The 26,416-nt window shown below is 36.4% G+C and overlaps 1 protein-coding gene and 1 pseudogene across 19 annotated transcripts in view; both read left to right on the forward strand.

Annotated features, from left to right (window-relative positions):
• BBS9 (Bardet-Biedl syndrome 9) overlaps positions 1-26,416 on the forward strand; it is a 506,483-nt gene that overhangs the window by 240,509 nt on the left and 239,558 nt on the right. For all 19 annotated transcript variants that reach the window (NR_145412.1, NR_145411.1, NR_145413.3 and 16 more), the window contains 2 exons: positions 13,873-14,045; positions 18,199-18,351. Coding sequence is in view for 16 of the 19 variants with exons in the window: in NM_001348036.1 (NP_001334965.1) it covers positions 13,873-14,045; positions 18,199-18,351 (326 nt within the window). In the remaining 3 variants the exon portion in view is untranslated. The remainder of the gene's footprint in view (positions 1-13,872; positions 14,046-18,198; positions 18,352-26,416) is intronic.
• On the forward strand, positions 10,156-11,073 carry LOC100421336 (RAB3A interacting protein like 1 pseudogene; annotated as a pseudogene).

The following is a 26,416-nucleotide window of genomic DNA, read 5'->3' on the forward strand; positions in this document are numbered from 1 at the left end:
GTTTGACATTTTTCATTTTTTGAAAGGTACCTAGTATTAATTGTAGTCCAGCAATCTGCTTTACAGAAAAATCCTACAAATGAAAGAACCTAGTATTTCTTCCATAGTAAACAGTCAAATGATTCATAAGTCACATAGAATTGTCCTTGACTCTTGGATAGTATTTTCTGTGGGTTCCGTGTATTCATCTCTTTTTAAAACCTGCTTGGTAATCAACCAAGCCTTCATGTATGCTGTATGGCGATTTTAGTTCCTTTTTCTGATTCAGTATAGACCAGTCAAAGCAAACAAGAGAAAAGTAAGGTGTAGCTCATTGTCTCAGACACCAAACCAAATTCCCTGGGGAACTGAGTAGGATTATATTTTTAGAAAGCAGAATAGTAGCTGGGTGTAGCAGCTTACCCCTTTAATCCCAACACTTTGGGAGGCCAAGGTGGGAGGATCGCTTAAGCCTAGCAGTTCAAGACCAGCCTGGGCAACATAGTGAGACCTAGTCCCTATTTAAAAAAAAAAAAAGAAAAGAAAAATTAGCCAGTTGTGGTGGCACATGAATGTAGTCCCAGCTATTCTGGAAGCTGAGGTGGGAGGATCACTTAAGCCCAGGAGGTTGAGGCTGCAGTGAGCTGAGATTGCACTACTGCACTCCAACCTGCGCAACAGAGTGAGACCCTGTCTCAAAAAAAAAAGTAGTGCTTAAATTTGGGAAAAATATGCTAGCAACATTTCTGAAAACTGTTATCACAGTCCTAAATTAAAAATAACGGGAAAGTTCTACTTTTGTGAGATCAAATGTTTTTATAATTAATATTGCAAAATATTTCTGCGTGGATGTCTATAATTTCGAGTGATTCAGTATAATGGGATTTCAGAAAAATATGCTATTATGTAAATACGTGTATATTCTTACGCTGCTTTCCTAAGGTCCAGATCCACATAGTGACTTATTACCATATACAACAAACACTGCTAGCTCTCTCTCCCCAGTCTCTCCTGCCCCTTTCTGTTTCTGTACTTTTCTTGGTCTTGCCTCTCTCTGGTTCTGTTTTTATCTTTTGTCTCTATTTGTACATTGCCTTGTTCTACTTGCTTCTTAAAGAATTTAGAAGAGTTTAAAAGTATCCAAAATATGAAAAGAGAAAATAAGTATTTCAAGAAATCAGAAAGAGAAAATCAGAGCAGGAAACTAATAAAGGTAGAAATAAGATTAATACTCAGAAATACATACTGTATGATCAAAAAGGTGCTAGTCACCTAAAATAATAAGAAATCATTTTGTTTCCATTTTCAGAGTGTTCAAAATATTAAACCTTTTGTTGAGGAGATGCACACCCTTTACTGATGCTGAGTCAAAGATGAAATTTCGCTTATGAATATTCAAAAAGACAGTTCCTTTAATAATATCTCTATAGTTTATATAATTATAAAGATTATGCTTAAGTAATTATGAGAAACAAATTTCACAGAACTTTAGAAAATAATGATAAAACTCCATTTATTAAATATAATTCTCCCTGAGCCCAAATCAGTGTGGTCTAAGCTGCAGCCTGATCCAAGGATAAATTTTGAGTATCTAGTTTTGCAAGTTTTCAGTATCTAGTGTTTTCAATAAGGATTGAGCAACCAATTTCAGTAACTCAGAATTGAGATGTAGGATGAAGGAGGTGTGTATTTTGTTTTTAAATGAGCAATATTAGAACATGTTTGAACATTAATTTAAATGATTGAGTTCAGTGGGAGAGGTTGATGATCAGGAAAGAGAAGTGGATCATAAGTCCGTGAAGAAGAGAGAGGGGATGGGATGCAGAAGCTTGCGGGAGGGTTTGAGGAATAGGCCTTTGTAACTTCTCTGTAACAGGAGGGATCGTATGTACACCTAGGGAGACTTTGTAGATTTGTTAGTGGAGAGATAAAGGAGCTTTGATAATGTATAAATCTGAAAAAAAATAGTGAGAAAATAAGAAAGCAAACTCATGAGGGAAATAGGCATTGTGGAATTTCCATCTAGAGTTTGAGATCCTACATTTTGAATTGAAACCAGCCATCCTTTTTAGGTGATTTTCCCTGGAAGTGATTTGTTTATCAGCATCTAAGCAACTAAAAACAGGGCTCAGATTTTAAAACAGAATTACAGATAAAATGTTTTTAATGAGACTGATTATCATAATGGACTACCAAATCTGAGATGGTAAGGAAATCGGTGACGATTAGAGAAAACTGATACATGGTGAAAAATTAATGGGTTCACCTGATCAAAATTCTTGAAAGTTTGAGGAAGTAAAGTAGTAGGAGTTATAGAGCAAGTGAACTAGGTTAAAAAATAAAAGGGAAAAAAAAGGTAGTGGTCAGAGAATGGATCAGATATTGAGAACAAGAGTTCAGAGAGATTGCAGATTCTGATAATGGCAAGCTCATCACTGGGGGACTGGATTGCTAAAGTGGAGAGAAGACCAATGGGGACAAAGATTTCAAGAAAATGAGGTATCACAGTTGTGGATATTGAAAAGGCCTGTTTGTATTGAGGTACATTCCTTGTGTACCTAATTTATTGAGTTTTTTTAAAATCATGAAAGGATGTTGAATTTGTCAAATGCTTTTTCTGCATCTATTGAAATGATCATATGGTTTTTGCCCTTCATTCTGTTAATATGATGTATCATGCTTATTGATTTGCTTATGTTAAACCATCCTTGCATCCCTGGAATCAATCCCACTTGATCATGGTGAATGATCTTTTTAATGTGCTGTGTTGAATTTGGTTTGCTAGTATTTTGTTGAGGATTTTTGCATCTTTGTTCATCAGGGATACTGGCCTGTAGTTTTCTTCTTTTGTTATGTCCTTATCTGATTTTGTTATCAGGATAATGTTGGCCTCATAGATTGAAATTTGAAAGTATTCCATTCTCTTTGATATTTTGGAATAGTTTGAGTAGAATTGTTATTAGTTCTTCTTTAAATGTTTGATGGAATTCAGCAGTGAAGCCCTCAAGTCCTGGGCTTTTCTTTGGTAGGAGACTTTGTATAACTGATTCAATCTTCTTACTCGTTATTGCTCTGTTCAGATTTTCTATTTCTTCCTAGTTCAATCTTGGTAGGTTTATGTATCCAGGAATTTATCATTTCTTGTAAGTTATCCAGTTTGTTGGCATATAGTTGTTCATAACAGTTTAATGATTCCTTGTATTTCTGTAGTATCAGATGTAATTTCTACTTTTTCTTTTATTTGAGTCTTCCTTCTTTTTTTTTAGTCCAAAGGTTTGTTCAATTTTCTTTATCTTTTCAAAAAACCAGCTCTTTGTTTTGTTGATCTTTTGTATTGTTTTGATGCTTAGCACAATGAATGAGAAAGTACACGCACACTCTCTCTTTCTCTCTCCCTCTCAGACAAAGCATTGTGGAATTTTAGAGCACTGAGGAGCGTATTCTTAAAGATTAGAAAGAAAAAAAACAAGTTACTCAAGATATGAATCAAGATGGCATTTAGCTTTTCATCAAAATAATTCGATGATAGAAGACAACGCAGAAGTTTTCTCCAAGATTGGAGGGAGTTTTCAACTTAGAATGCTGTGTCTTGCTAAGTTGATAATCTGCAAAGAATGCTGAATAGACACATACTCTCAGTGTCACAAAGTGACACTGACAAATTGCAAATACAGGTCAAGCATCCCAAATCTGATAATTCAAAATCCAAAGTGCTCAAAAAGTTTGGAAGTTTGGAGCATTTTGGATTTTGGATTTTTGGATTTGGAATGCCAAACTGCTTAAGTATATAATACAAATATCCCCAAATCTGAAAAAATCTGAAATCCAGAACACTTCCGGTCCTGAGCATTTTGGATAAAGTATACCTAATGTGTAGCAAATTGGTATAGCCTTAGGTAGGTGTTTGAAAAATGGAAAAGGTAACTAATACATCGGATGTTTCAATATCCTGAAAGATTTTTAACATGCTAGGAAGAGTGATTGAATTGAATAAGGTCAAGTTTAAAAATCCTTTTTTTGGTCCATTTTGATTATTTTGCTTTCAGGTATAATAGAAGGATTGTAGTCACATATGTGAAAAATGGTTGGGCCTTGAAATAGGATTTCTTTTGCATCTTCCAAAAGAAATCATATGTCATCTTGAACTGTGTTATACAAAGTACCTGGAGAAAAAGGAAGTGGGAGTATTATTTTACTTCATCTTGGTAGACAATACATTTATTCCCTTTTCATTCAGCAGACATGTTAGGTATAAACACTGTTGTGGCTCTTGTGGAGCTCCTACACTAATGGGAGAGACAAACAGGTAAAGAGAACCAATAATAGAATGCTTGATGTGCTTATAGAAGCATGTTTTTTAGTGCTGTTATATCCCAAAGGATTGAAACTCGATAGAAATTTTGTTTGTAGAGGGTCTTGAGGAAGGAGTAGGAGACTATCAAGTGGAGGTCATTCTAGGAAGAGGGGAAAGTATATCCTGATGCTTGATAAAGCATGAGGTTTCAAAGGATTAGTGAATTTTCTTGTGTGCTGAAAGTTCATGTGGTAAGGGCTCTGTGACAGTCCTTTAATGAGGTCAGGAAACTTAGGGACAAGTATAATAACCAAATCTAAGGTCAACTGATGCCCACCTCATGCCCCGAGAATAGTTTAACTTATACAGTGATTCAGCAATATATTACTGTTAATATTTATTTTAAAATTTCTTAGCAATATTATCAAGTGACAATGAGAATATTATATAAATCTAGCTTGGAAAAAGCCTGTTGAAAAGTAAGCGTTGAGAAACAATCCTTAGTTGCTAATATTGAAGAGGTTGTATATTTAAAATGTTAAACCTACCAAAAGGCCGGGCGTGGTGGCTCACGCCTGTAATCCCAGGACTTTGGGAGGTCGAGGTGGGTGGATCACCTAAGGTCGGGAGTTAGAGACCAGCCTGACCAACATGGAGAAACCTCATCTCTACTAAAAATACAAAATTAGCTGGGCATGGTGATACCTGCCTATAATCCCACCTACTTGGGAGGTTGAAGCAGGAGAATCGCTTGAACCTGCCAGACGGAGGTTGCAGTGAGCCGAGGTCATGCCATTGCACTCCAGCCTGGGCGACAAGAGTGAAACTCCGTCTCAAAAAAAAAAAAAAAAAAAAAACCTATTGAAATAGTTTATGTTATTTCCTCAACATTTTGGTTTAAAAAGCATTCATCTGCTTTTCTGTCTCTCATTTCAAAATTTCCAAATAGCATGAATTGTATAGTTCACTGTTTATGATACGAATACAAGCATTATACTGATGAACTTGAGAAGATGTTCTGACACACATAAAGACTGATGTGATGCATTTTTTTACCTTCCTTAATTAAATATATTCTTTTCTCCATTTGTAATAGAGTGTTATGGAAATTGTCTAGGCTTTGATCATCTAAATTTATTTTATCTGGAAACTGAAGTGGTTATTTCCACTGAGCTACTATTGCAAGATACAAAAGAAAAGAGATAAACAAATTGAGTGTTCATTTTGACAGCTATTTTGATTACTAATATTTCAAGGGCACGTTTTAAAATACAGGTTCTTTTATGTTATATTATAAATAGAAAAATTCATTTCTCCCTCCATGAAATATAAACTCTGGAAAGTCTCCAGGGATAGTATTAACCATCTTGGAGTACTAACACTGAGAAAATGTTTAGTAATCAAAATAATACTTTATAAATCTTGGACTCATTGATTCTTTGGATTTTTGGTAATCTAAAAAAAGCAAAAAATGTTGTTGTGTTTATAAATTCCAAGACTAATTGCAAATTTCTTTCTTTCTTTCTTTCTTTTTTTTTTTTTTTTGAGACAGAGTCTTACTCTGTCACCCAGGCTGGAGTGCAGTCACAATCTTGGCTTAGTGCACCCTCTGCCTCCCAGTTCAACTGATTCTCTTGCCTCAGCCTCCTGAGTAGCTGGGACTTACAGGTGTGCACCACCACACCCAGCTAATTATTTTGTATATTAGTAAAGATGGGATTTCACGCCCAGGCTGGTCTTGAACTCCTGAGCTCAGGCAATCTGCCTTCCTTAGCTTCCCAAAGTGCTGGGATTACAGGTGTGAGCCACTGTGCCCATCCTAATGGTAAATTTTTTATTCCAGAAAAATTGTTTTTTATTTTTCTTCTGTATATGTTGATGAAAAATTAAGAAAGAAACAGAAACTAAAAATTTAAAGTTACTGAAAATATCACACCTTTTTAAATGTTTATTATGAGTTTTACATTAAAAAAACTTTTAGGTTCAGGGGTACATGTGCAGGTTTGTTATATAAGTAAACTTGTGTAATGAGGGTTTGCTGTACAGATTACTTTTCTCACCCAGGTACTAAGTGTAGTACCTGAAAATTATTTTTTCCTGATTTTCTCCTTCCTCCCACCCTCCACTCTGAGGTAGGCCCCAGTGTCTCTTGTTTCTCTGCTTGTATCCATGTGTTCTCATTATTTAGCTCCTACTTATAAGTGAGAATATGCAGTATTTTTTTTTGTTGTTGTTATTGTTCCTGCATTAGTTTGCTAGGAATATTGGCCACCAGCTTCATCCATGTTTCTGCAAAGGACATGATCGTGTTCTTTATTATTGCTGCACAGTATTCTATGATGTATCCCTACCACATTTCCATTATCTAGTCTATTGTCAATGGACATTTAGGTTGATTCTTTGTCTTTGCTATTGTGAATAGTGCTACAATGAGCATATGAGTGCATGTATCTTTATGGTAGAACGATTTATATTCCTTTTGGTATATACCCAGTAATGGGACTGCTGGCTTGAATGGCAGTTATGTTTTAGTTTTTTGAGGAATTGCCACACTGCTTTCCACAAGGGTTGAACTTAATTTACACCCCCACCAGCAGTGTATAAGCATTCTTTCTTCTCTGCAATCTTGCTAGCCTCTGTTATTTTTTGACTTATTTTTAATATTAACATTTCTGACTGGTGTGACATGGTATCTCATTTTGGCTTTGACTTGAATTTCTCTAATGATCAGTGATATTGAGTATTATTTCATGTGCTTGTTGGCCATATGTATGTCTTCTTTTGAAAAGTGTCTGTTCGTATCCTTTGCTCACTTTTTAATGGGGTTGCTTTTTTTTTCTGGTAAATTTGTGTAAGTTCCTTATAGATTCTGGATATTAGACCTTTTTCCAGTGCATAGTTTACAAATATTTTCTCTTATTTTGTAGGTCATCTGTATACTCTGTTGATAGTTTCTTTTGCTGTGCAGACGCTCTTTAGTTTAATTAGATCCCATTTGTCATACTTGCTTTTGTTGCAATTGCTTTTGGTGTCTTTGTCATGAAATCTTTACCAATTCCTATGCCCAGAATGATATTTTCTAGGTTGTCTTCCAGGGTTTTTATAGATCTGGGTTTTACATTTAAGTCTTTAACCCATCTTGAGTTGATTTTTGTATGTGGTGTAAGGAAGAGGTCCAGTTTCAATCTTTTGCATATTGCTAGCCAGTTATTCCAGCACCATTTGCGTGTTTTTGTCAGCTTTGTTGAAGATTAGATGGTTGAAGGTGTTCAGCATTATTTCTGGGCTCTCTCTTCTGTTCTGTTGGTCGATTTGTCTGGTTTTGTACCAGTATCATGCTGTTTTGTTTACTGTAGCCCTGTAGTATAGTCTGAAGTAGGGCAATGTGATGCTTCCAATTTTGTTCATTTTGCCTAGGCTTACCTTGGCTATTTGTTATATTTTTTTTGTTTCATGTGGATTTTAAAATAATTTTTTCTAGCTCTTGAAGACTGTCATTGGTAGTTTAATTGGAATAGTATAGAATCTGTAAACTGCTTTGGGTAGTATGGCCATTTCGATGATATTGATTCTTCCTGTTCATGAGCACAGAATGTTTTTTCCATTTGTTTGTGTCATCTCTGATTTATCTGAGTAGTGTTTTTGTAGATTCTTATTGTAGAGATCTTTCACCTCCCTTGTTAATTATATTTCTAGATATTTTATTCTTTTTGTGGTAATTATGAATGGGATTGTGTTCCTGATTCGGCTCTTGGCTTTATGTACAAAATCATTAGGAATGTGAGGTGTAGACTCAAATTGATAGTTTAGATCCCAGCTCTAGCTTAAAATTCTTCTGAATGACTTTGGAAAAATTAAATAACCATTAAAAAATTTATTAAATGGCCCTAAAATAGTACTGTAGTATTATATATGAATCAAATGAAATAACCCCTAAAAAGCACATAATAATTTCCTGATGCATTGTAAGTGCTAGGTAAATTTTGGCTGCTTGTATTATTTTCATCCTTATTACCATTAGTACTATCCACTGACGTCACCTTCTCAATGTGGCCTTTCCCGACCATAGCATCTCAAGAAAGGCCACCCATTTGTCTTTATCACAGCACCTTTGTTTCTGCATCACAGTATTTTCATAGGTCTGTTTCATATGTTATTCACTTGTTTATTTTCTGCCCTTCTCACTAGAATGAGGACTAGGATCATGTATGTGTTGTTCACTATTATCTCCCTAGCACTTATCACTCAGCAATATTTTTTGAATAAATGAATAGATGCAGTGTTACCTTGAGTCTTATTTAAACTATAAACAAGAATTATCTTCTATTACCTCTCTTTTATAAAGAGAATTTCGTCCCTTTGATTTGTCTCTTTCCTTTGAACCTACTGCATGTGATGTTTCTCTGTTACTTTATCTTTAGAGAGGGAAGTCTTTGCCCAATATGGGGGGATTGAGATGGGCCTTTCGGAGAGCTCATAGGCCCCTGTTGAGGTAATCCAAATTTTTATAAAAGGAGAAGAGAAAAGCTTAGACTTATTCACATTTCATTTTGTCAGAGATTTTTTTGTTTGTCAGGACAGTAAAAGGAAGGAGCTCCATAGGCAGCTGAGGCAGACACTTGACTTCGCTGGAGGAAGAGTTTGGGGCACTGCTGCCTTTCTTGGTTAGCCCACAGCATCCCCCATTTTCTTTCATACAACACACATGCCCAGTGTAAGCTATGAGTGAAGACTCAGCCTAGCAGTTTCACTGAGGTATTGGAGTAGGTCCTAATTGGGTTTGTCTTTCCTCATCAAGAACTCAGCTCTGGCCAGCTGAGCTTGGGCATGCTATTGGTGTTCTGCTGAGAATCATGTCCATGTTTTTTCCCCAGTGATAAATTCTGATCAATTTTCACAGTAACTTATGGCGGATAGGCTTGCCTGGACGTACCTGAACATGCTTTGTTTCCAGATGTTTTTGCAATACCTACATGGGTGATTTAACAGAAGCTGGTATAATGTCTTGTTATAGTGCAACATAAAAACTGCTTACTGCACTTCAGACGTACTACGTTCCTCGTCTGTGTTTTATAAACACATTTCTGCCTCAGTGCCTTTGTCCCTACAGTTCTTTTGGCTTGCAATGCTCTTTCCATAGATTTCCCCATGGCTTGCTCCTTTACTTCATTCAGGTACCTTGAATTATATATGTGTCTTTTTACTTCTGGGGCCAGATGATACAGTTCTTTAAACGTGTGATAATAATCCTAGTTGTTTATGTTTATCTTTTTTAAGATTGTAATACATTTTCACTGAAAATTTATAGTTGAATGGAATAAATTCCTCTCTACAGCTCTATTTTATTTCATATATAAAGAATTTTATTCTTTGTATATATTTAGGCTAACCCCAAGTTTTTTCTATCTGCATGTGGAAGCTTATTCAGAATCCTTCTAGAAACTGAATGAATTGAATTTTCTTTGAAAAATTAGCACTGTGAAATTTCTGTAAAAATTTACAGCTATATTTGAAATGACAGTAAATCGTATGCTAAAGAAAACATATTTTATTAAAGATAGTTGTTTTGTATCTGCTATGTGAAAGTTACTTGATTAGCTGGGTGCTGTGTAGGTCCAAAGAAATTTATGATATCTCTGCCCTTTATTTTATAATAAATTGGGGAAAGTAATGAAAACAATAATGACAATAAGTAACATTTATTGAGTGCTTAATATGTCAAGCATTGTTTTAAGTGTTTTATTTAAAGGTACATATACGTGAAAGGAAATGAGCATATTAAAGCAGAAATTTCAGAATCTGGGAGTTGTAAAGGATCGTGTTCAACCTTACGAACCTGGTGGAAGCTCTCTAATGCTTTTGGCAGGTATTCCTGCAGGATCTCCATAGGAATTCACAAGAAGGGCTCTGAGCTCCTGAAGGAGAAGCTGCACAAAGCTCACAAGGAGCTGCAGCTGAAGGGCGAAGACTGTGAGCAGCTGTTCCTAGTGCAGGAGCAGCTGCACGGGAGCTGGAGGAGCTGATGACTAGCCTGTTTGAGGAAGCCCACAAGATGGTGTGGGAAGCCAGCATACAGCAGGCAGTGTCAGAAAAGCAGCTGAATGCGGAGGCATGGGGAAAGATAGACATGCTGCAGGCAGAGGTGACAGCTTGAAGACACTGGTCATCATGTCCACACCAGCCTCTCCCAACTACAAGCTCCACCTGCACCTGCTGAGCCCCACTAAGGGTGGGCCCTGCAAGGCCCACTGCCAACCTAAGAGCACCAGCAGTGCCCTCTCCTTGGCCTTGTGCCCCACTGTGAGACATGCCCTCACCTTGGACAAGGAGGTGGATGTGACACTATTGGCAGAGTTCCAAGCCTGGAAGGAATTACCTACCTTGGACAAGACCTGTTCCTTGCTGCAAAGGGTGTAGTGGGAGGATATGGACCCCTGCCTGGACTTCACAGTGCAGAATCTCTTGCCACAGGTGTAGGCCTCTATGGGGGACACCACACTCACTATCAAGCCTGTGGCTCTGCAGAAGCTGCCTATAGTGAGGGTAACTGTGGTCAATTGTGGCAGTGCCAATATATGTGTCTTGAGCAATTTGGCCCATACCTGCCACCACCACCACATCTGGCTTTGTGACTTTGCGAGCCACTACCACATCTCACTGTCTTCTCAGGCCAGGATCACTGCAGTGTGCAACTTTTTCATCTATATCTGCTACATCCACAAGGCCTGGTGCGACAGGATTTGAAGCCAGTGTTCTGGGAGATCACAAAGCTGTGAAAAGAGATACAGCTGGCCAAACTCAGCTCCCCCTAGAAGCCTAGGGTGTTACCTGGGCCTAGATGTGGGCTGCCTAGGATGGACAGACACACATAAAAATAAGGATCCTGGTACAAGATCTGAGACAGGTCTGTACCTCATGAAATGATCTTTCTTTCACACCGAGTTCTGCAACTCACAGGTGGACTTTCAAGAAAATACCAAAGACCAGGGGGTTCAGAGCCTGAAAAACACTTTTAATGGCAGTTTTTCCTGAGGCAGCCATGAGCATCTATCATTGTTAATATAGTTCTTATCATGTATTGTGCCCTTTGCATCTCTCTAGCTGTTGTCTAATTCTTCTGTTATGTGATAGGCCTTCCTATACTTGAAAATGGTAGTGTATCTTCTTGCGGGGAGGTCCTGGCACCCCTGTGGCAAGGTCAGCCCTAATGATTGGTCCTGAATCAGTGATGGCAGAAGAGTGATGGCAGAAGCAGTATTCAGTCTTCTGCTATCAGGCTCTCTTTCCAAGTCTCCTGGGAGCTCCTTGAGGGCAGAAGCTCTTCTTCCCTTATTCCTGATTTTATCCCCAGTGTCTTGCACTGAGTTACGTAAATGAATGAAAGTAAATAAATACAATCTAGAGTTAATATGTTGGATCTCAAGCTTAGTGTGGATAAGACTAGATTTAAAAGGTTCTTATACGGTACTTTATCATCATTATTCTCCCATCTACCTCTCTACCCCTGCCCCGCCACAACTGTACTATCTCTAAAACATTAAAACTTCAGTGTCATTTATTTACAAAAGTAAATATTTGGTGGCATTTATTTTAAAAAGTATTATCTTTGATTAAGGAAAACACCTAATCAGCATTATGGGCAGAACTCAGCATCCAGAATAAGACTGGGGTGAAGGGAGGGGTGGTGAAGCTTCAAGGAGAATGGGGTATGACTTCAGCAGCAAAGACCAGTGTGTTTGCATGGATTGTGACAGGCATACCCAGTATATTTTATTCTTTATCATTGTGAAAGGGAATGACTAGGGATGAGAGGAGATATACTATTGAATTCTGGATGGAGATGACAAATTGAAGTCCTAATAACCAATCCGAAGAAGTAATTGCATTTATAAAATTTACCACAGTTACCATGGGGAACATAAAGAAATATTTTATATGTCCATGTATCATGCTACTCTAGCTAGATCTTAGATTCCCTAAGCAAGAAGACTGAGTTCATCTTTGTACTCCCAGTGTGTCTCTTTATGACATCTGCATAATAGATGGTCAATAAGTGTTGAATTAAATGGAATAGAGGACTTAGTCCTAGATCTCAAAAAAGTGTATAATTCCTGACCCAGTGTGGCAGCTCATGTCTGTAGTCCCAGCACTTTGGGAGGCCGAGGTGGGTGGATCACGAGGTCAGGAGTTTGAGACCAGCCTGACCAACATGGTGAAACCCCATCTCTACTAAAAATACAAAAATTGGCTGTGTGTCATTGCAGGTACCTATAATCCCAGTTGTTTGGGAGGCTGAGGCATGAGAATCACTTGGACCAGGGAGGCTGAGGTTACAGTGAACTGAGATCATGCCACTGCACTCCAGCCTGGGTGACAGAGTGAGACCCTGTCTCAAAAAAAAAAAAAAAAAAGTGTATAAATTCCTTTAAAGGGAGCAAATGTAATAATCTTGGAAGTTATATAAGAATGCATGGTTTTACGTAGTTAAGTGCCTAGTGAACTGTAGACATAGTAAGTCTCTATATAAATTCAGGAAGACACAATGTTATGAGGCAGTTAAGATTAATATCTAGTGTTCCAGTGCCTGCTCTCTTACTAACTGGCTAGTAACACTATTTCTCTCATAGGGCTGTTAGGGTTTAAATGAGAAAGTGAATGTAAAGTGCTTAAAATGTGGCTGGTGCAGATTGAGCTCCCATGGATATCAGAGAAATCAAGATTTGAGTAGATGAGATTAAAGCCAGGTCCTGATGAAGAAGTACGATTTAGGCAGAAGGATATGAACTATTAATTCTAGCACTGGCATTTAATTGCTTTTGATCTTTGGCAAGTCTGTGAAACTCTCTGTGCTTTATTTTCCTTTGTATAAAAAAGGGGCTATTGTAATCACAGTTCTTGGTACACAGTTTATGCCCAACAAATAATAGCTGTTCTTATCATAGGTGTTATTACCACCTCTCTTACCATCATTGTCACCATTGTTGTCATCATTTTCAGGGTAGAGAATAGCTAGAAATTGGTCATCTTGGAGTAGTGGAGCTGAGGTCTCAGGGAATAAAGGGAAACAAGATTTATATTTAGAAAAGGGTCTGACTGCAAAATCTCTCTTCAAATTAAATAACTATTAGAAAAATAGAAAGCTTTGATCATGATTACAGTGAATTATGCTGATTGCAGTATCCAGGGTATTGAATTTTATATAGAATCAATTTTACTTCAGTATTTTGAAATGATACTAATGATAACAAATTGTATTCTTGCAATGGCTCTTTTCTTTTTAAGTACAGGCCTTTTTAAAGGACCCAAATTTGGGTGTTTTTATTGTACTGAAGCCTATTATAAGATATATAACAAAAAGGACCATGCTTTACACTTTGCCACTGTGACCACCTACCTTTGGAATTAGATTTGAAAGTGTTAAGTGGTTGATGCAGGGAGCAATGAAACAGTGAAAGTATTTTTATAAAGCCAGTGTAATCATATCTTTGTTACAAAAATGAAATCTTTGAACTTTTAAAGTCAGGATTAGTGATAGTTCATGTAGCTTTATCTAGTAATTCTGTGTTACTAAGCATTTTTCCTTAATTTTTTTCTCTCAGAACGATATCGCATTCAGAGTGAACAATTTGAAGATCTTTGGCTCATAACCAATGAGCTTATTCTTCGCCTTCAAGAATATTTTGAAAAACAGGGAGTCAAAGATTTTGCATGTTCTTTTTCGGGATCTATACCCCTTCAAGAATATTTTGAGTTGATTGATCATCATTTTGAGGTATGTATGATCATAACCCACATCATCTATAATCCTTAAATATATGAAAGAGAAATAGATGCTATAGAAGGATTCTGTATGCATGCCATTAGGCTATGTGCTTCTAGTTGTTTTTCTTATGTGGATGGTGGATTTCGTGAATCCATTCCTGCCCACTTGCCCAGTTTGTGATCAATTACAGACATTTACAGAATGGCTGCCTGGAGCTAACCATGTCGTCTGGCCCTGGAACAGAGCTGATTTAATTCTCCCACATGGAGACTTAGCCCTTGACCCCAATAACCCAGTGTTAAAACTATTTGAGCTTATCGGAGGCCATTTGGCTAACTAATTCTAGCAGGCCATAAATGAGGTGTGATTATAAAGTAAAGTGATTTTTCTTTTTCTTTTTTAACAAGCATACCAGAACTTCTGCATCTGAATGAGGGTTAACACTTAAAATATTCCCCAGTATCTGGCACAGTGGGTGCTTACTAAATGCTGAATGATTACATATATGAATAAATGTGTTCTAACAGTAACTTTGTTGCTCTGAATATTTTGCATTTCTTCTTTGGAAGTGCCTTCAGAGCCTATGTTAGATTCTCTTGAGTATTTCAATGGTGACATGTCTTCATCTTTTGAAGATTGATTTGATGATTGGGACTAGCCAAATATTTGTTTTGTGAGTGGATTTGACAGTGACAGTCATAGTTTTTTTAAAAGTCCCATGTATTCCAGTCATCAGGCTCCACTTACATAGTCTATAAACACTCTACAGACAATACAAGAGGGGAATTTTGAGAGAATTTTGAACATTATCCAAGTAAGCATTGGTTCTTGGGACTACATTTCAGTTTAGGAGTGTGTGTGCATGTGTCTGTGTGTGTGTGTGTGTGAGAGAGAGAGAGAGAGAGAGAGAGAATTACCAGTCATATAATTTTTCAGCCAACCATTGAACATTCTAAGAGCATTGACTTTCAGCTATGAAGACTTCTTTAATGTAGTGTGAACATAAAAAGAAAATTTCAGGTGTATACAATCGAATTATGAATAATTATGTCATAATTCCTCATCTATGATGAGGATCTGTGATGACAATATTTTCTAGGAACGCATGCCTTTGGTCAAATTGTAGCACCAAAATTGACACAGTCTGTAAGAGTATGTTTAGGTATCGTATGGAATGAGAATCTTTGCAATTCCTTGGGATATATTTTAAGAAATTCTTGCTTCGCTGTTGGAAACTTAAGTGTAGTGATTTGTGAAAGGGTCCATGGAAAGACTATACCAATTATATATTTGTAATATTTGAAATAGAGAATACTAGATACTATTGACTAATAAGTTTGACATATAATTTTCCCTTTATACTTTCTGGCTAGTAAGTAACTCCTTGGAGCTTCTACATCAGGGGAGTGTCTTTTCTGAGGAGGGACTTAGAGAATATGGTGAATGACAGGCACTTTCATTTGTTACACACATAAATTAAGGGGGGCGTTGTTATGCTTCCTTTGTTCTCTATCTCCTTTCTCTGCTTTCAGCCATTAGTAAGATTTTAAACTTTGAATACAGTTGGGTTTTGGAATCCAAGTGTGCCTTGGAGTGTAAATTTCATGAAGGCAGAAATTTTTGTCTGTATTATTCATTGCTTTAATTTCTAGTGCCTGGACCAGGGTTTGGCTCTGAGATCAACAGATATTTGTTAAGCATTGAAATTCTGACATGTGAAAACATTTCAATCACTGCTGCTTTGTTACACATTCAAAGGAATGATAACCTGGTTGATAGTCTGAGTATTGAGAACATCTTTTTAATTTTTTAGTGTATCAAGAATTTAGGAAATAAATTATTACAGCAGTAAATTATACAATTAAAAGAATGAATTATTGATAATTAGGTTAATGTCCTTTTAAAAACTTTATTTTAAAATATTTTTATTACAGGAAATAAATTATAGCAGTAAATTATACAATTAGAAGAATGAATTATTGATAATTAGGTTAATGTTCTTTTAAAAACTTTATTTAAAAATATTTTTATTACTTAATTTTTGGTATTTTTTTGCTCAAGGGAATATTCTTTGATTTAATTAGCTACTGAGTGCTTCTAAAGAGAACACTTGGACACAGGAAGGGGAACATCACACACCGGGGCCTGTTGTGGGGTGGGGGGAGCGGAGAGGGATAGCATTAGGAGATATACCTAACGTAAATGACAAGTTAATGGGTGCAGCGCACCGACATGGCACATGTATACATATGTAACAAACCTGCACGTTGTGCACATGTACCCTAGAAATTAAAGTATAATAAAAAAATAAAAAAATAAAAAGAAGAAAATGTCTCTCAAAACTGAAGGGTAAATAAAGACAAAATACATGAATACACTTTAAAAAAGTTAAAATTTCAAGTTACTTTTATTTCATATGTAATTGTAGAATGCATGCACTGAAAGGGTAAGGAATTTGGTTTGTTACTAGAAATGTAGACTACGATATGTTTGACTTCTGAGCATTTTGAATATGATGTTTATTTCAGCTAGTTTATTACTGTTTTGTAAAGTTGAGTTAGTGATTCACATGACCTAATCTTATGAAGTGTCCCTTTTACCCTGTGACTTTGACTAGCTTGCTTTCATTTATTTATTTATTTATTTATTTATTTATTTATTTATTTATTTATTTATTTTGAGACGGGGTCTCGCTCTGTCGCCCAGGCTGGGGTGCAGTGGCACGATCTCGGCTCACTGCAAGCTTGGCCTCCTGGGTTCACGCCATTCTCCTGCCTCAGCCTCCTGAGTAGCTGGGACTACAGGTGCCCACCACCACGCCCAGCTAATTTTTTGTATTTTTTTTTAGTAGAGACGGGGTTTCACTGTGTTAGCCAGGATGGTCTCGATCTCCTGACCTCGTGATCCGCCCGCCTCGGCCTCCCAAAGTTCTGGGATTACAGGCGTGAGCCACCGTGCCCGGCCGCTTTCTTTTAACAATATTAATTTAAATGAGATGGGTTACAGTGAAGAGAGTCATTTAGGATTCTAATTCCCCAGCCACTCAATCTCTTCTTTGGAGGCAGTGTTTGGTGTCCAGTTTCTTGTATATCTTTCTAGAAATATCCTATGCAGTCACAACTATGTTAATATATAGGTTTCTTTTTTTTAAATAAAAAATAATGGTAGCACATTATACATACTATTTTGTATTGTTTTGCTTTGTTTCATTTATCATATTTGCACAGCATTGCATATCAGCACATAGTAGTCTTGCAGAATAGTCTTCCTTATTTAACCAGTTCCCCTATTGATGGGAATTTTGATTATTAATAATGTCTTACTATGATAACAATAGATCAAACAATTTTGTAATGGGTATCCTGATATATACATTACTTTTGGCAAGCATATCTCTAGGATACATTTCTAGAAGTGGGATTGTTAGGTCAAAGGCGTATGTTTAAGAGGTATTTGTATTAACTTTTATGTAAAACTTTGCCCATTTTTCTATTGGATTGTTGCTGATTTCCTACTGATTTCTGTTAGGTTGTGGTCTTTTTCTCATTGATTTGTAGATGCTTTCTAGATATGGGCATGACTTTGTCTCTGTAGTTATTGCTGTTATTTTTTGCAGTTTGCTATTTGTCCTATTTTCTTTATAATTTTTTAAAATCATGTGGAATTAAATGTTTTTGTTTTTTTTAGTTAGTAATTTATCAGGGGTGTGTTTGTGTGTTTGTTTGTGGGTGTGGCTTTTAGCTTTTGACTTACACTAATAAAGGCCTTTCCTATACCAAGATCATTTTAAAAATTCTGATTTTTCTGGTGCTTTTATTGTGTCTAAACTTTTAATCTCTGCATTGATTTTGCTGTAAAGAATGAGAAAAGATTTCTATTTTTTCCCATGTAACCAATTATTGAAAAACACTTATTAAATGATCTGTTTTTCCTCCAGTGATACTGGTTAACTTTTACAATTTTCCATTTGATCTGTTCCACTGTATTATCTGTGAATTAGTGATTCATGTACCAAATACCACATTGTTTTAATTCCCTTAACTCTATAATGCATTTAAATTTCTTCATTACTCTTTTACTTTTATTATCATTGTGTGTATTTTTTCTTTAAAGATGTTTTTTGTGTCCATTTAATCTCAATTTAAGAAATTATTCATTGCAGCTACGGATAAATGGTGAAAAATTAGAAGAACTCTTATCTGAGAGAGCTGTACAATTTCGGGCCATTCAACGCCGGCTACTAGCAAGATTCAAAGATAAAACTCCTGCCCCTCTTCAACACCTGGACACCTTGTTAGATGGAACCTACAAGCAGGTCAGTATAATATCAGTAACAGTTTTCTATTACTGGCTATACTTTTTTTTGTCACCCTAGAGTCATGTACCAGAATATCCAAGATAAGGTACTCATTTCCAGTGCTTTAAGGAACAGTGAACAGTGCACAAGCTTTAGAGTCAGAAAAACCTAGGTTCAAAGTCAAACTCTGCTGCTTTCTAATTGTGTGACCTTGGGTAAATTACATGAGCGCCCTCAGTTTCCACATATTACCTCCCGGAGTTGTTGTGAGGATTTTTAATCTTTTATGTAAAGCAACAAGAACAATGCCAGGCACGTAATATGTGCTTGATAAATAGTAGCTATTATGATTAGTATTATGAGACAATTCTTGGTGCATTCCATAATTATTACCATAATTCTCCAATTGTCTTACCAAGCAACTGGCTCATACTTCTAGTATTATGTCAGTTGATATTTTGAGATGGAATTCTTAAGCATCATAGTTCAAAAAGTTCTAGTTCAAAATATATTTTTTCTTCTTGATCACCTTCCATCCATAGTTTATCATTTGCATGGCTAGGTGATCTGGCTGTCACTCTTAAGGCACTGTCTCTCCAAAAACTATTCAAAACATCTCTCACTTAAAAATTATTTTTTAAATTTTAAAATAATTTTAAAAAATCATGAGAAGGCTTCTACCAGTTCTGTTATAATGTCTTTGAATGGTTATAATGAAGACTTTGAATGACTATATTGTGTATTCCTATATTTCTTCACAATGTTACTCTCCTGTTTCAAAGTCAGTGTTGCTGGTATGAATAGTCTGTTGATTTTTTGAATTGAGTTTTTTAATTGAGATAATTCTATATTTCTGTGCAGTTGTAACAAATAATGCAGAGAGATCTCATGTCTCCTTTAACTGCTTTCTTCCAATGGTAACATTTTGCAAAACTATGGTATAATATCATAAGCAGTATATTGATATTAATAAAATCCACAGGTCTTATTCTGACTTACTTGTACTCATTTATGTGGGTGCGTGTATTAAGTTGTATACAATTTTATCACCTGTGTAGATTCAGCATCCGCCACCACATTCTAGACGCTTCACCACAGGACTCCTTCATGTGGTCCTTTATCACAACATTTCTGCCCTTCTCCCCTGCCCCACTCCATTCTGTTGATTTTGAAAGGACAAATCAGATTTTTGTTTTCAGAATTAATTTTCCTAGGGGACAGAAAAATAGCTTACTATGTTTTTGCTCATAATACATTTGTTTCTTAAAATTTTCTTGGTTAGGCTGGGCATGGTGGCTCACGCCTGTAATCCCAGCACTTTGGGAGGCCTAGGCGGGCGGATCACGAGGTCAGGAGATCAAGACCATCCTGGTTAATACAGTGAAACCCTGTCTCTACTAAAAATTCAAACAATTAGCCGGGCATGGTGGCAGGCACCCATAATCCCAGCTACTCGGGAGGCTGAGGCAGGGGAATCGGTTGAACCCGGGAGGTGGAGGTTGCAGTGAGCCGAGATCGCGCCATTGCACTCCAGCCTGGGTGACAGAGCAAGACTCCATCTAAAAAAAAAAAAAAAAAAAAAAAAAAAATTCATGGTTATTTGAAAATTAGCAGCAATTTAAAGGACAGTCTATAGTAGCAGTGGAATATTGGAAAGAACACTGGGCTTGGAATTCAAACACCGCAGTGTTGTTGCTTATTAGATGTATGGTTTTTGGCAATTCCCTTACCCTCCCAGAACTTCTGTTTTGTTCCATAAAATGAGATGACTACTCTTTTGTTACAAAGATTATATTCCATAATGTATGGAATTTACAAAATTTGTTCCACAAATATAGACTGCCAATTTCGTGTGTGTGTGCTGGGGTAATTATATGATTCTTCAGTCAGTAGGCACCAATGCCCTGTCTGTTCCACACCTCTTTTCCTCTTTAGTACTCTTTTTGTTTTGTTTTGTTTTCTATTTCCTTCCTTCTTTTCCTTTTCCTTTTTCCCATTTCTTTGTTCACTTTTCTTTCTCATTCTGGGGTCTACCGTCATCCCTGCCTGCCATACTTGAGGCTGAAGGTATGGTCAACCTTGTATTTAATGATGCTGTATCTTTTTGTAGACACAATGGTGGAAGGGCATTTAAAGGAACTTGAAGAGGATGCTTGATTTAATGCTTTCCAGATTTTCTATATAGTAAGACTTCGTCTTTTATACATTTAAAGTGCAGAGGTTTTTATTTTTTTCTGCTTAGCCTCAAGGTTGAGGTTTTCCATGATTTGTAATATTACAGACAAGACGATCAAAACCATGGCTTTTCACTTGAATGTATATTGTTAAGTCCCATTCCTTTTAGATTAATGAAAAGAATGAATAAACATTTGAAGGAAAAATATGAGTACTATAAGGATTTTGACTTAATTTTTATGTACCTTGCCATTCAATTTTATTATATGTATATATTTGTAATAAATGAGGGTGAGGTGTTGATTGTTCAATAAGTTTCATGAGCATAATAAAGTCTATTTTAATTCCGTTTAGTCAGTTTTTTAATGACATACTTAACACATGAATATAATTTCCCAAAGAAAATTATAACATTATACGTAATGCTAAATTTCCCATCTTGGTTCCTTATCATCTGCTCAGAAATGTAATCATTCTTACTGTTTTTGTTTCTTTCCACACCTCTTTTTTTGGCACATAGAAATGAAATATTGTTTCACCAGGCTAAAGAAAAACTCCATAAAGAGTATCATATGATATGTATTAATCTAGCTCTCTTTTTTCTTTTTCTTCTAAAGTATGTACTGGAACTCTTTGCATATTAGTGCATAGATGTACTTCTCTATTTGTAATGGTTACATAATAGTTTATGATATGGACAGTCTGTAGTATGGACAATCACAGTTTATTAAAGGACAAATCTTAATAATAGTTTTAATGTTGAGTCTAACATTGAGAAATCCTTTTTCGACAACTCTCCTGGGATCGAACAAGCATACCACCTACCTTATTATCACATACCTTCTGTTCAGTGTTTTTCTTATCTTTATGCTTTGCCTAGGTAGGGAGCATGATTTACTTGATGGATTAGTCAAGCTCATGAAATAACAAGCCATGCTAGAGTCCATTCCTGTCCCTGTGGCATAACTCCACTGCATGACTTTACTAGATTTTTAAAGTCTTTTCCCAACGTACCGCTTTAAAATTAGATCTGCTACCTGTTTAGCGTTTTTTTTCCTCCTGTGATGGGATCTTTTAATTTTTCAGCAAAATGTTCTCTATGAGACACACATACACACATGCACACATACACCAGCATACCCATACATACACACTACCTTACAGGTATGTTGTACCAGATTGTAGCTCAACCAATAGTGTATGAAAATGCCTGCTTTCCTAGGTATTATTACTTATTTTCATCTTTACAATTTTTAACTGAAACAGTAATTTGATTGTTGTTTTACTTCTTACCTCTTTTGTTGCTTACCAGAGATGCTGCATATTTTTCACATGTTAATTGGCCATTTGTATTTCTTTTTTATGACTTGCGTATGTACACATTTTGTTTAATATTCTATCATGTTCATCTTTGTCTTACCATTTTGTGTATATTGAGGGATAATCTTTGGTCATACTTTCATCATGCATGAAAATACTTGGTACCTATTTATGTATGTAATCTCTCATACATAAAAAAGTTTTACCAATTTATCATTTGCCTGTTATTTTTTATTTGTAATGTATTTTTGACACATGAGGTTTAAAAAAACGTTTGTGTAGTAAAATCTGTCCATCTTTTTCGTTTAGGTTTCTCTGCCTAGGAAATCCTTCCTTATGTATGCCAAGAGTATATGAATATCAATTTATAAATTATTCTAACACTTCTATGCTATGATTCTTTAAATGTACTTTTTTCACTCCATCTGGAATTTATTGTGCAATTTAGTGAGAATCTAATCTCCCTGCTCCCTGGTGAGCTTAGTGTCTCAGCCCCTGCTTATCGCATATTCCATTCTTCTACTGAGCTAAAATATTACCTGAATCATTTAACAATTTTACTGTATAGTAAACCATCCCAAACCTTAGTGGCTTAAAACAACAATAATTCATTATTTATTGTTCATGAGTCTCTGGATTAGCTTGGTAGTTCTGTTGATCTGGGTCATGCTTGGCTGATCTTGATTGGGCTCACTCATGTGTCTCTGGTCAGCTGGTGGCTCAGCTCGGGACTGGATAGCTAGGATGTATTTACTCATGTATTTGGCAGATGGCTTGCAGTTAGCTGAAATAATTGGGCCACTTGTCTCTCATGGCCCAGCAGGCTAGGCTGGGCTTGTTCACATGGTGACTATATGTCCCAATGCACAAGCACTTTTCAAGCATCTGTTTGTGTCATGTTTCTAGTGTTCCATTGGCTTTGGTCAATTCAGATCAAAGAGGTGGGGATATAGACTTTGCCTCTTTGTTGAAGGAGTGGAGAATTGTGTACTTTTTTATAATCTATCCTCCTTCTTTCAACATATATTAAATTAGCAAACTATTTTAAACGAACAGTTCTTTTTGAAACTTTTCTAACCCTTCAATTTAGTTTTTCTATACTTAGAGATGTCTTTTCTTCTATACTTTTGACATTTAAACTTAAATTTTTGTTGTCATTAAAATCTTATTCACTCATAAGCAGTTGTAGTCTATGGACTCTGAAGATAATTTATCTGAAAATTAATTAGGTTTGTCAAGAGTTGTTTAAAGCAAACAGAGCAGGCTGGGTATGGTGACTCACGCCTGTAATCCTGGCACTTTGGGAGGCTAAGGCAGAAAGATCCCTTGAGCCCAGGAGTTTGAGATCCCTATGAGCAACATAAAGAGACCCTGTCTCTACATAAAATTTGAAAATTAGCTGATAGAGGTGGTGCTCACCTGTGGCCTCAGCTACTCAGGAGGCTGAGGTGGGAGGATTGCTTTAGCCCGGGAGGTTGAGGCTGCAATGAGCCATGATTGTGCCTTTGTATTCTAGCCTGGGCAACAGTGTGAGACCCTGTCTCAAAACAAACAAACAAACAAACAAACAAAAAATAAATAAATAAAAAATAATGCAAACAGAGCATCAGTGTTGTTTTTAGGCGAATAAAACTGTCTGAATATTTGCCCATGTTCTTAGTTATGGTCAGTTCTTTGAAGGATGGAATCTATTATCCAGTTTTTTAAATAGGTCTTCACCTTAGCTTTGTCCAGTACTGGCTTCATGGGCATGTCACCTGCACAGTCACACAGAGCCCTGTTTTTGGTTTAATGCTCTATAGTAGCCATACTGGATTTCTTAATACTTTTAGAACAAAGGGTCCTGTATTTTTATTTTGCTCTGGGCACCTCAAATAACGTAGCTGGTCCTGGCCCTGTTAGGATAATAACAACTTTCTGATGAGTAGAACAAGACACCTGGGAGTTCAGATGCAGAGCAAAGTTCAAATAGAGAACAGCCTTATTACCCCTACCCCCAAATCACATGTAGGCCTTTCCAAAGATGAAGAAAACAGGATGCAATGGACATCAGTGGTAGCTCTTCTGGATAGCTCAAGTGCATCTTTTTGGGACAAACATATTGGTTAATCGGCAATGAGGCAACCATCCACGAAGGGTTATCTCATTTAGGACCATCATCCTGCAGTTAGCCCTCTCTTGGCCTATTGTGGGTGGCAGCCTCTTATTATATTTCTAACAGGTGGGTCACTGGCTTCAAGGTGCATCATTAATAGTTTTGAGTTTTGGTGCAAAAGCCAACCACTTCCCTCCCTATTTTCAAATGCAGGTTATTTCCTGTATCCTGTATAGGAACCCTCAAAGCCACATCCCCATCTTATTTTTGCTAGCATGCCTTGCCTACATAGTGTCTACTACTGCATCATACTCCACTAGGAACATACAACAAGCACCCTTATGGAGGCCAACCTAAGGTTGAAGCAAGGAGAGGGGACCTGGGATTATCAATCTGGGAAAAGCAGAGCATGATTCTTACAGGGGAAGGATTTGGCCTCTAGTGAATAAATATTTTTCAGTTGTCCACCACAGTTTCAGTAATTATGTTGTATTTATGCAGCCATAAAAAAGAACAAGATTATGTCCTTTCCAGGGACATGGATGGAGCTGGAGGCCATTATCCCTAGCAAACTAACACAGGAACAGAAAACCAAATACTAGATATTCTCACTTAAAAGTGGGAGCTAACTGGTGGGAACACATGAAGACATAGAGGGGAACAACACACACTGGGGCCTACTGGAGGGTGGAGGGTAGGAGGAGGGGAGGATCAGGAAAAGTAACTACTGGGTACTAGGCCCAGTATGTGGGTGGTGAAATAATCTGTACAATAAACCCCCATGACACAAGTTTACCTATGTAACAAACCTGCACATGTACCCCTGAACTTAAAATACAAGTTAAAACTAATAAAATTTTGGGAAAAATATCATTCTTTTTGAAAGAATTTTCATCTTTACTTCTAGCTTTGGAGGTATAATGTTGAAAGAATGTAACCATGTTGAGAATGTCTTCTTTTCAGTAGTTAGAAACCTAAATTTCCTCATTTGTAAAATTGGAATACTGCCTTCTCAATCAACTGAATGTATTTTTGGAGGACCTAAGAAATAAAGTAGGAGAAAAGAAAGGAAATTCTTATTTGTTGGGTGTCTGCTGAGTTTGAAGTAAATTTTATTTATTACTTCATTTAATACTTAGAATCATCATGTGAGGGTGGCATTATTGTTTATAGAGGAAGAACCTGAGACTCTGAGTAGAGTTAAGAAACTTGCTCAGTGTTACACAGATATTAAGCATTGTATTCCAAAGTCCAGGCTTTAGAATATCAAGTGGCAATTTTACTTTAATCATTGTCAGGTGGGACATAGACAGCCTAGATTTTCTTTAGCAAAATTATGGTCAGGGTAAAGAAAAAGGAAATGTGTGCGAACTGTTTGTACATGTTCATGCTACGTATATGTATATTCATGATCATCTAATAGTCATTGTATACACACCTATTAGACAGGTAACAAAATCTTTTGGAGAGTTCCCTCAATTCTGAAATTATATCTGAAACAAGTATCAGAGGACTTTTTTTGGGTGTGTGACTTTGTTGATTTCACTTATACCTAAGTTTAGCTTCTTTGCCTTCAAATGCTAATGCTGATTGGCAGAAAAGCTTTGCCAAATAAATTCTCTATTTTATTATAACATTTTCACATAAATTTGTTAGTCAAAGCAAGACTGATTGGTTGAGTAAATTGAAATGGAAGAAATTAGACTTACCCTATGACTTGGCTTATGTTTTGATGCTATTACATGTGCTGAGGTTTTTCTCCTCACTTCAACACTAACCCTCTGTTGTAGCAGAGGGAAAATGTTTACTGATCTAAAAGTTGGTGTCAGATGACATATGTGTGATGTAATGACTAGTAGTCATTAATGTTCTAGAGAGGCAGATGGCTGACTTTTCTCTTCTACAAAAGAGGCTGTATTAGGCATAATTTTAAATAGAGATCCTGTGGTTTGGAGTTTGCTATTTGTTACTTTTTCTGTACTTTAAACTTCCTTCCACTCTGTTTATTTGTATGGTATTGATATATAAAAATCATTTTAAGTCACGCAGAAGCCTAAGAGCTTTTTGGTCCATGGGTTTTTAAATGAGCATGATTTTGGCTGATAACACAGAGGAATATATAATGAAACCATTCAGAGGCCCACTTTCCTCATTGTCATGGACAAGTAAAAATAACATGCTGAGAGACTAAGAAGGAGCTTTCATGGATGTGGTGATGTTGCTGGGCTTGTTTTTCATATAACCACTTAAGAGCTAAAAGGAAATTCTTTCTCAGAAGGTGATAGAGTAAATAGGTGAGAAAGGAGGAGGAAGCAGAAATTTGCAATCGTATGTTTGTGGATGAACAGGGGTGGTAAGTAAAAACAAAACAAAACAAAACAAAAAAACTGAGATGTCAGTAAAAAAAATGGAATTTGTACATTTTTACCCTATAATTTTACTCTTGAATATTTAGGCAAGGAAATAGTTCACAAAGAAAAAAATACATTCATC

This window comes from Homo sapiens, chromosome 7 (genome assembly GCF_000001405.40).
Source record: "Homo sapiens chromosome 7, GRCh38.p14 Primary Assembly".
NCBI lineage: Eukaryota > Metazoa > Chordata > Mammalia > Primates > Hominidae > Homo > Homo sapiens.